This window comes from Homo sapiens, chromosome 13, assembly GCF_000001405.40.
Source record: "Homo sapiens chromosome 13, GRCh38.p14 Primary Assembly".
NCBI classification, from domain to species: domain Eukaryota; kingdom Metazoa; phylum Chordata; class Mammalia; order Primates; family Hominidae; genus Homo; species Homo sapiens.
In genome coordinates, this window is record NC_000013.11 from 38,335,824 (window position 1) to 38,348,344 (window position 12,521).

The following is a 12,521-nucleotide window of genomic DNA, read 5'->3' on the forward strand; positions in this document are numbered from 1 at the left end:
CAAATAAGAAAATGTTAGAAGGCAAAGTAATCAATGTATTCATAGCCAGAGAATTTTAATAGTTTTGGCTTACATTCCTAATCTCAGACTGCTAGACCATCCTTCCATAGCTCCCAGGACATAAAATCAGTTAAAATTCATTTTGTGTCATTTATATTCAGTCTAAACTATCCTGTTTACCCAATGTTTAAATGTGTTTATTTTGCTACCAAAAAAAAAAAAAAAACAACTTTTGGAAAGTCTTTGACTCTATCACCTACTAGCTGCCAAGCAGCTGGTCAAGAGAGGCACAATAGTCCAAATAAAATACCAACTTTAGAAGCTATTTTCAGTTAAGAGACTGGACTCGAGAATTCAACATATCTGGAAAGTTTCCCAATAATGGAACAGACGAACTGTCTTTTTTCTCCTGCTTAGCTACAGGCAAAATCTAAAATTATAAAAATAATCATCACCCAAAACTTAACAGATTATGATGCTGAAAATCAAAACAACAACTGCACTCTTTCCAAATTTTCGGATTTCTCATTATCTAGCATTTGAATAAATTCCTTCCGAATTAAAGCTTAAACTATATTCATGAGTTAAATGGCATTATGTTAGATGTATATAGACTTACATATGAATTCCTTTCATGAAGAAACATATACTCTCTTAAGCAGGTTTCCCTACCTTTATCTAATGTTTTCCCATTTTATTCTAAGTGGAGGCCTATCTTAATCTCTGCATTGTTATTGATGTGTGTAGAACATTCACATTTAAAAGAAGTATCTACACATTTGGGCTTAAATCTACCACGTTATTATTGGCTTTCCATGTATCCTTCCTGTTCTTTTTTTGTTCTTTTTCTGCCTCCTTTGGGACTGATTGAATTTTTTACATTACATTTTTTCTCCATTTTTATTAGCTATTATTCTTTATGTTTTAGTGACTGCTACAGAGGTTATATCTCTTTCACTTATCACAAGGTAATTTCAAATATTATATCATTCACTCACATTAAAAGAGCCGTAAAATCTTATACTCCCATTTCTGACCTGTCTTCTCTCCTATTGATGTCAGATGGTTTGTTTCTATGCCTATTATAAACACCACACATTTGTATTACTTTTTTTATCTTTAAACAGTAAATTACCTTTTAAGTGTTTTTTAAAATTAGGCAAAACTATCTTCTATATTTATACATGTAGCCACTATGTTTGGCACTTTTTATTCCTATGTGTAGAGGCATATTTCATTCTGGTATCTGATATTAATAAAGTCCTTTAATATTTCTTATAATGCAGTACTATAGGCCATAAATTTTCCCAGCTTCTTTTTCTGAAAAACTTTTTACCTTTATTTTTGAAACACAAGTTTTTCTTGGTGTAGAATTCTAGATACTTTTTATCTTCTAGTACATTAAAGTTGCCACTCAATTATTTTTTGACCAGCAAGCTTTCCGACAAGAAGTCTGCTGTTTCATTCTTCTTGTTATTTTGTACATACTATCTGCTGGTTTTTTCAGTCTACCTTTAAGATTCTTCTTCTTTATTAGTGGTTTTGAGCAATTTAATTTGTATGTACCTGGTTGAAGTTTTTTTTTTTTTTTTTTTATCTTTTACTTGGGTGGTTGAATTTCTTGGATTTCTGGACTTCTAATTTTTATCAAATTAGGAAGTTTTTCAGCCATTATTTCTTCAAATGTGTTTCTGATATTCCCCTATTGATTATATATATATGTGTGTGTGTGTGTGTGTGTATGTGTGTGTGTGTGTGTGTGTGTGTGTGTGTGTGTATGAATGATATTTTCCCATAGGTCATTGATGTCCTGTTCTTTTTGGGGGGCTTCATTCTGGACAGTTTTACTGCTAAATATTCTACAATGTGGAATCAATTAATCACAACCAATAAGATTTTTTTAAATATTGTTTTCATCTAGACATTTCACTTGGGTCTTACATATTCCATTTCTCTTCTCATCATGTTCAAGTTTTCTTCTATCTTGTACTTATGAAGATAATTTCAGTAGCTTTTTAAGATCATCATCTGCCATTTCTATTATCTCTGTCATTTTGTTCTGTTTTTATTGACTGATTTTTCACCTATTTCTTGAATGCCTAATAAGTTTTTACTGGATGCTGAACATTTTGGGTGCTGAACTTTGTTTATGCCTTGAGATACTGTCGGATGCTGTCATGACATTTCAAGTTAAGTAACTTGGCATCAGTTTGTTCCTTTTTAACTTTGCTCTTAAGACTTGATGATGTGGGTAAAGCACACCAGTTAGTCTATAGTTAATTTAAAACTACTAAGGCCTAATCCTTCAGAAGATTCAACTTGATGGCCTGTGTATTAGGAGGTCTTTCCACTTGATGGCTGGGAACACACATTATTTCCAGCTCTCTGTGAGTGCTGGCCATTGCTCAGGCTTACTGCTGTCTACTTCCAACCTCTCAGCCTTGAGGAATTTCCTCTCAGGCATGTGCAGGTCAGTACCCACTGAAAGACCTTATGTGGATCTTAGGGATTCTGTCTTCTGAGCTCACTGAGGCTGCTGGGCTGTGCTCAGGTTCCTCTCCACATGCTATGGCCTATAAGCTATAAGCTACAGCAATTATAGAACTCACCGGTTTGTTTTTCTTCTCTCAGTTTTTTCCTATGTCCCAATATCTGAAAGTCGTTGCTTCATATATTTTATCTAGTTTTATAGTTGTTCAATTCAGGTGAGTAGATCTGGTAACTGTTACGCATTATGCTCAGAAATATAAGTTCTAGCTTACTAATGACTTTTTCAACTCACTTTATTAAAGTGTTTCTTTTTGTCATTTAAAGTTTTAATTTAATCGCTATGCTTTTTATTGTCAGAATTTATTATTTTTCAAAATGTGTTGCTCTTTAGAGTTAGAATGATTTTTGTTTGTTTAGTCTAACTTTTCAAATTCTTTGGTAACTAGGTTTGCTTGGTACTATTGACTTTCACTAATGGTAGCTTGCTTCCTTGCAATTTTGATTGTGTCCTGAATTAATAACCATTTTTCCAAACCAGATTTGTTTTTACCTAACTTAGGAGTCCTATGGTCTAGAAGAGAATTCTGGACCATGTGAGTAATGTAAATTTTTTGTAATTCAAGTTCCATTTCTTTGGTTGCTGAGTTTGATGTCTCTCTTTTAGGTCTTTGGTGATTCTTGGTTGTATGTATTAGGATTTTTTTTTTTTTTTTTGGTTGTTTGTGTGTGCTTTATCTATTTGCTACCGCCTTTCTCCAGTGATTTGCAGGTTGTGATGGGATGTAACAGATTAGGTGCACCTACAACAGGTCTTCTGAGTATGGGGTGTCTACATTACTGTTTGGTATTCCTAGTCCTTAAGTCAATGACCTCTAGTTTATCCTAACAGCCCAGTTTCAACTCTCGTTAGGAAGAGGGAGGTGTTATTATCTGACGCTCCTTTAGTAGTTCCCCCATCACTGACTCTATCACTTACCACGGGACTCCACTCCATTTATGCTTATTGCATGCCCCAGCCTTGGAAAAAGCATCCCCTTTCACAACAGTATTTCAATGGACACATTTTGAACCATGGATTCTGTCAAGGCTTTGATCCTTTCTCCCATTCAGAGACTTTTTGAGATTTTAATTGTACTCTGAGGACAGCACTGCTTGTTTTCCAGGATGGTGTTTATGTGTCTGTATGTTTAAACATGTAAACATATTTTAAAAAGTATATAATAATGTGCAAACATTGCAAAATATATATGTAATATATGTGTATGCAAGTGTGTAAACATACATATATTGATATATAAATACATGTAAGTAAATATATGTATAAACATGTATATTTACACATATTTTATATAAATATATGTATATTTACACATATTTTTATATATATGTATATTTACACATATTTTTATTTTTATGAATGAATAGGTATAAATATACATATAAATTTTTATATATATTGTTATTTAATAGGCATGTTGGAAAACAAAGCTTTGGGCATATACTCAATCCAAGATATATATATTTTTTTCTTTGAGACAGAGTCTTGCTTTGTTGCCCAGGCTGGAGTGTAGTGGAGCGATCTCAGCTCACTGCAGAGCTTCCGGGTTCAAGCAATTCTCCTGCCTCAGCCTCCCAAGTAGCTGGGATTACAGGTGCATGGCCACCATGCCTGGCTAATTTTTTATTTTTTTTTTAGTAAAGATGGGTTTTCACCATTTTGGCCAGTCTGGTCCCGAAATCCTGACCTCAAGTGATTCATCCGCCTCAGCCTCCCAAAGTGCTGGGATTGCAGGCATGAGCCACTGCACCCGGCCACAATCCAAGATCTTGATACAGCCTTCCAACAATAATTTTCTATCAAAAGATATTCAAATGACTCTGGTGACTTGGGCAGTTAGACTTTCTTAAGTGGGAAATGTGTCCCAGTATTTATAAATTTTAATTATGCTTCTATGTTTGGAGCAGGATAGGTTATTAGTTGTTTTTAAGTTTTTTTTCTTTTTTCCCCTGTAATTTCCCTCCTTCCTAAGAAGATAAATAAGAAACTCTGCTCTTTTGTCCTGGGAGTGGTTTGTACTACAGGACTGAAAACAAAATCTACCCAGAAACAATGAATCTATATCCCCTGTGAAAGTCTAAATCCATTCTAGGATCAGGCTAACAATTTTAGAGAGGTAAGAAAAAGAGGCCAATACCTTTCAAATCAGAAAGGAGAGAGATGTAAGAGAGACTAGCCTAAGGCTGGGGATGGGAGAGGAAATGTGTGGGTTCTGTGTTATCAGAAAGAAAATCCCATCTTAGAAAGCACAGTACCTTTGCAGCAGAGTGGGCAGATTCCCATTTTTCCAGTTGACACAAATCTTGACCAGCTAAGAGCAGAGGACCAACTTAATTTCTTAACCAACTAAGAGAGAGTGAGAGGAGTAAGCTAAGCACCCATCCTACTGATTCTTTTTATGTGTCTTGGCTTAGATGTACAGCATGCACATGTAGTAGATTGTGTTTATCGCTGCAGTCCCACCAGCTCTGTCATCAAAGAAACTGTCTTAAGTAGGGTGTAAGGTGTTGATTGTTAAACTGGTGTCCAGTGGAACTGCTATGTAGTCATTGTTCATGCTTTTATTGCCTTCATCAGTATTTTAAGAGGAAATTTAGAGAGGCTGCATTAGAAACTGCTAGCATTATACAATCTTAACCCAGAAATCCATTTTGAAAATCTTACCATATAATCATTTATGTTATTCCTTTACTAAAAACAATATAAGCTTACTCATTTAGCAAATAGTGTCCCAATTATTGCACCCTGAGGATTTTAATGTATAGTGGTGACAGTCATGACACAGAGGAGCTAATGTTATTGAAAGAAGAGTTTTATTAATTACATTTCCCAAGACAAAGGGGCATGCTGGGCACATGGAAAACACCAGGTTTGAGACAGGAGACAGAAGCAGAGGCAGAAGCTAACCTAGGGGAAAGCTTAGGCAAGAGCCTATATTGGAATTTCTACAGGAAGGCAAGTGGGGAGCGGGGTAGGGCAGGGCAGACTGTTCAGGGCTCGCTAGTTTGAGTAACTCTGGTGTGCTTTGGGCTAGAGTGGGGACTCTAGTTGCTTGGTGCCAGGATTGTTTTAGGGCAGGGAAAATGTGTTGGTTTGGTGTGTGAGATTAGATAAGGATGTGGTTGGGGATATAGACTCCTGGAGATCGGTTGGTTTGTATATGAACCACATTCTCCCAGCTGAGCCTTTTGCTATCTCAGAATTGGCTAGCCCTGGGAGAAGAAGCCTTTCCAAGGCCAGCAAGCTTTTTAAGATACCCAAACATCACAGAACATAGCAAATAAAAAATATGATTAAGAGAAGTAGAAATAGAAAGGTGTATTTATTAGCTCTTGAGACATAACTTGGTGATTAAGAAATATTCCAAAAAGATGGAAAACAGAAGTAAGCTTAGATTATAATAATTAGCATCTAATAGTTTTTTCTCCAACATTACTTGGTTATAAACAAAACACTATTTACTATGCCTCCCATAAGAAAAATTTTTAATATACTAAGAACAGTTTGAATTTTATGCTATGATAAAGATATATTAGATATAAATTAAGTCTTTGACTTAATATTAACACTAGAGAAAAGTAAAATGAAAAGCTAGCATGATTATACTCATGAGCATTCCAGTTGAAGAGACCTGGAAATGAGCAGGAGAAACATTAAATTATGCAAATATTTCTTAGAAAGGCATATATTTTTGTAATATTTATAGAAGTTTGGTGTTTATAAACACCAAACTTTAAAAGGCCCAAAGATAATAAATAAAAATTGTTAAATAAAAGGCCAGGATATACTAAATCTCTCAGGAGATGATAGTTTTTAATGGCAGTAAAAGTGAAACTTCATTAGTAAAGTTTATTTAGTAACTACAAAATAAGTAGCACATATAAGAACCAGCATTTTATTCTCCTATAAATGAAGTAGATTGTATTCCTACTTATTGTTTAAGGAAGAAGAGGAAAAAAGTTCCACCTCTCTGTTAATACTCTGATAGCTTTGGGAAGAAATTCTTACCAATTCCAAATTTGAGACCCATTCACTTACCACCATAAATTCACCTTTAAACAACTAAGGAAAAAAATTTAAAACCTTGTGTAGGACAGAATCTATTTCAGCATTTCAGAAATCAAGATAAAAGTGGCTGTGAATGCAGGAAAAAGAGGAAGAATTTAAAGGAATTGCTAGAGATTTTGGATAGAATTAACCAAACTGAGGCGAACAGAGCTGTTAAAAAGGCATGCAGAATTGCATGGGATGTAGTCACAGCAGACAGTTGATTCCCTTTGTAAGATTTCCAAGCCGTTACTGGAAACATTTAAATTCTGTACCAATTAATAATTTTAGAATGATCTAGATCAGATCATGTTAATATCTAAAAATAGTTCTTTCAAGCCAAACCTTTCTATCAATTCTCCTTCATGATATAACTCTTAAGCCATGGGTAAGGTTATCACATAAGTATTTAGATCTTCAAAATCTCTACTTTATGAATTATAACTTTAAAGCCTACTAAACAATATAAGTATTCATGTGGTTCTTTTGGCTAATGGAATTGCAACAAAACTGCTATCCCAAAATCACATCATTTACACCAAAGAATATAAACTGGAATGACTGCAGGGGACCAACAGAAAACATAAAAGTATGACTAGGACAAAAGCTGCTGAACCATTTCTGTCTCTACCAAACATAACATTCACTTGGCTGCACTACAGAGCCCAACCCAAAAACTCCCAGGACCACCGGCCATCAGCTCACAACCTCCACTTTGCAAGCCACCACCACCATGGACGCTACAAGGAAGGTTGATGTCAATAAGCAATCCTTCATCCCAAGAGGTATACAATCTGAAAGAGTCAATAATGAGATTTCTAATTTAGGGTATCTGATTCAGAATGTCACATGTCACATAAAGTAATGGTGAAGGAACATGTGAGGATATTCACATATTTTTATTTGATTGGCTTCTTTATTTAACCATATTTAATAAGAATCTTTAATTAGCCTTTCAAACCTCTGCTTTCACCAGTAGCAGTGAATTGACTGAATTGTATTATCCTTTGAATAGATAAGCCTTAAAACAAGAACAATTCAAGAGTCAAAAAATATAATCTACTGCACTAAGAGCATTTATGACTGCAGTTAATGAAATGTAAAAACATTACTGCAATTGGAAAGCATTACCAATCTACAGTATTTTTAAGTTAACATTAATTCACTCAATAAATACTATTTTAGTACATGCTATATGCCAGATATTTGTTCTGAGTGCTGCAAAATCAAAATTGAGTAAGAACTCATTGAGAAGCACACTGAATGAGTTTATAAATTCAACTATTTGTATTGTAAAAAAATACTAGTAAAAATAAGCTCATATGCAATCAAATTAGGTAAGTTTTGTAAAGAATCATCAGCAACTGTGCTTCTTCATTATTCTCTCACAAACCGTATGTAAAACCTTAGGCCTACAAAACATAATCCACTTTTGTTCATTTTCTGATTTTTAAAAGAAGTAACAGTACCCATCCCGAATGCTTTGTATTTTATTATAGGAAAAAAGTAAGTTAGTGAATGTAATAGCACTTCAAAAAGAACGAAATGCTATATAAATTTCTTACATCCCTTAGAGACAACCAACAGCCATGTTATCATGGCTGTTTCTACTGTGGTTGGTCATGATGAAGAAATATAAAAAATGTTTTGTATATCTAAGAACAGCAGTATTAAGTTGAAAATAATATTAATATTTAAATGGTAATCTAGAATATATCCCAATTCATAATATGGCAAGTTATGATGCAATTTTTAAATAATTCATTGTCACATTGGCTTTAATACTTTCTAAGTGCCTCAAAGAAGAATGACTACTAGATGACCTTGTTAATTCCTAGGGCAAAACATACAAAATTAAACATTGTAGGGATCTAGATGCTGCCTCAAAAAATAACAATAAAAAAATTATAGGGAAAATGAGCATTGCATAATTCCATTAGGGAAACTAAAAAAAAAAAAGTAAAATATTATTTAGATACAAATCTCATACAAGAATTCACAAAATACAATATTACAGAACAGTAAAATAAGAAGCTAAGAAGATAATGTTATTCTCTTTAAATTACATGCTTTACTCTGATGTGACTACTAAGTTCAGTTTGCAAAAAATTTAAGTGAAAATTTTTCAGTAAGTGTGGAAATGACTTTTTTTTAGTCAGTAACCATTTTATATTATCATTTGGAGGCAACATGCTTCAGTTTGAAGTATATTTTCCACTCCTCTATTTTTTAACTCTATATTTATATCAATTATGTCACCGTTCTTTTCATCTTATTTTTATAAGCATAATTTATTTTATTTTTAAAATAAACTGGTTTCTTTTCTAAATAACATGTTTATTCACATTTGCATTTTTTGTTTTTTTAATTATTTTAACTGCCATTTTTATTTTCTTATGTCAGTGTAATTCTATATCTTAAACATCCTTAATCATTATTTGACTTTATTAAGAATAGAACTTTAAAAGAGAGAAGCTTTCACAGACTCACTATGTGGATTTATATGCCATTTACTTCTGTAGCAGACAATTTGATGTCTGCTACAAAATGTTTTACTTATAAAATAACTCTTCCATAGGTAGATGGGAAAATAAATCCATAAATTAAGACTCTAAGAACTTTAGAAAGAAATGAGAACTTCCACTACCATCCTCATCCCCAAAGTATCACATGTCTTCAATGCACAAGTTGCCATTCTTCAGGGGATTAATTACAGGACACTTCTGAAGTGAGAACTATTTTTGCCAAAGTTCACTAACAAGTCACAAATGTTTTATTCTTCCTATACCAGTGAAGAATATAGCAAAAACTAATGGAAAAAACCTGACTGCATATAGTTTTAAATTATACCTTAGAGAAAGCATGGGAATATCCCTGAGCCCATCTCAGCAATAAAGATAGACTAACTTCCCTGTGGTAGTTATATTCATAATTGCCTAAACTTGGAAGCAGCAAAGATGTCCCTTAGTGGGTAAATGGGTCAATAAACTGTGGTTCATCTAGACAATTGACTATTATTCAGCACTTAAAATAAATAAGTGATCAAGCCATGAAAAAACATGCAGGCACCTAAATGCATATTACTGAGTGAAAGACGCCAATCTGAAAAGACTACATACTGTATGATTCTACAACATTCTGGAAAAGGCATAACCACAGAGACAGTAAAAAGATCAGTGGTTGTCAGGGGCTAAGCAGGAGGGAGGGTGAATAGGTGGAGCACAGAACTTTCAGGGCAGTGGACTATTCTGTATGATACTATAATGGTAGATACATGTCAATGTATATTTGTCTAAACCCATAAAATGTACAACACCAAGAGTTAACCCTAATGTGAACTATGGGCTCTGGGTGATAATGATGTGTCAATGTGGGCTCATCATCCGTAATAAACGTACCACTCTGCTGAAGGATGTTGAAAATGTGAGAGGCTATGAATATATAGGGATAGGAAGTATCTTTATCTGCTCAATTTTGCTGTGAACCTAAAACTGCTCTAAAAAATAAAGTCTATAAAAAAATACTCTGGGCTGGAGAAAGGAGGAGAAGAAAATGATAAACATTGTAAGGTCTCCCCGAAATATGGCCCTATTCCTTCATCCCTAGGGAAACAATCTCTAGGGAATTTCAGAATCAGAGAAAAGATGCCCAGTTCCTGCTCCCATTGAAGCCCAGGAAGACAACAAAGTTCCCTTCATTCTAGGGAGAAAACATGTTATCTTTAGTCAAAGATGTCTGAGCTCTTCTGGGTTCCCTATAGCCACAGGGTGGTACAAGAGGGCACTTTTCTTACATCCCTTAGAGACAACAAACAGTCCTAAAGTCGTCTTGCCAGCACACAAAAAGGAGTGATATCACCAGACAAAAATGAGATGTCATGTGTCTCAGATGTTTGGAGTGGACACAAATATCACTGAGAATATGGAGAGATGATGACAAAGGACCAGACGTCACAGTCCTCTGAAGCCTGTATTCTACATAAAACTGCAAGAAGAGTCATGTGGGGAGAAACTACAAATGGATCTAAAAATCTCAACTTGAATCAGAAAACCTTAAGTTAATAGAGAAAAGTAAAAATAGAACATTAATATTTACCTCATTTAGCTGGTGGAAGGATAAAAATATGTAAATGTGGAAAAAAAAAACTCATGGTTGAAATGGATTTGTCAGAGGCTACTTCAGTTTTTCTAAAAGTAATGTTTCCATTAAATGAAGAATTCGCACAATATTTAGAGAGAAAATTTAATTATACCAGACTGTTAAATTCCTGTTTTTCACAGTTCAAAATGCCATTTTGTAATAAAGATATTTTACAAATTCTGTGGTTAAAATATTCCACGTTTTGTGATTAAGCCTCAAATTTAGAAACATTGTAGTCAATGAGCTTCGTAGAAAAGTCATTTCTTTTTCTCACTGAATTTTAGAAAATATTTGGGAAAAATATGTAACTGTAACAATCAAATGTAGCACATTTAGAGCTATAGTCTTCTGTAAGGGCTTGCCTGGACTTGCTAGGCTCCGATCTCACCTGGGTTTCATTGTTCTTTTTGACTCAAAGGAATGTAAATATTCTCTAACCTTCTAGTCCTTACCTTGAAAAATAACACAGCATTTACATATTCCCAAGTACTTCTGTAACCAAATCCACTCTCTCCTCTTTGTATAAGGCTTCTTGTCACTAAATTATGACTTATAGCCAAGGCATCAAAGTTTAAAGTCTATATTTTGTCATTGATTTGTACAAAGTGGTTAATACCAGCCAAAAATAAATCTTAATGAATTTTGAGTCATTATTATCATTGCTTCAATTATATCAATGCCTTTTAGTGGATTTTGAGGGGAGAAAAGGCAATAGAAAAAAATGAACAAATTAAAGTACTATTAAAATACCAGTCAATTATTAATTGATCAGTCTATAATTTGTTCCCTGTAATATAAAGTATTTGGAATAGAACACCTTAAGATTTATTCAGGTGCAGATGTTTCAAGATTACATAATTTGACTATCAGATGGTTCTAGTCATAATCGTAAATACAATCAAATTATGGTGAAAATGAAAGAATTTTTTTTGGCATCCAGAGGAATATAAAAAATAAAGTTGGCTATAAAAATAACTAGTCAGAAGAATTTCTATGACTATGGAAGCAAATCTTTTTAGTCCTTATGTAAATTTAATTTCCTTCTGGCTTTCTTCTAATAATGGGAAATTTATATGCATTTGCAAATAGAATATTGGTATGCTTCATTGACATTTAATGAGGTCTAACATGGTCACACTGTGCACTTCTACAGTCATTTCTGCCTCTACATGATACTAATTGGATCTTTTCCAAAACACATTAGGCCATTTATGCTATTTGTTGTCTTAAAATGTTCCATTGCCAATTATCTCCAAAAATTTGCTCCAGAGTTTGCTTCTGATTACAGCCATTAAACGTACTTCAACATTTTAACTTTTCAGTAAAAGAGAAGGTCCTTGTTTTGCTATAAAATTTTCCAATTGCAAATCCCTTCACAAAGTTAAAAAAATTGATTATAAATAAATCCATTTATAATTTCTTTCTTGTCCTAAGCAAAATAAAACTCAGGAGGCTGCAGAAATCATGCTGTGACTCTGAGGAGACAAACATGAGAAGCAGAGTTGGGGACTGAGGTGAAAAAGAATTCTAAATATTTAGAAACAGCTGCTTTTTAATATCTCAAGAGATGTTATTTTGATATATTATACAAATGTATTTTCTGAAGCAGCAGAATCTGAGTACTAAAGTCACACTGTGGGACTGAATTCTGTTTTCACCACTTTTTATACATACAATAAAAGCTCTCTGATTAATATCCATTTTTCTCTTTAGGATTTTGCCACGTTTTGATTCATGAGCAGAAACCAAACTATAAATAGCAGGATGCAAATTTTGTTTCAAAATA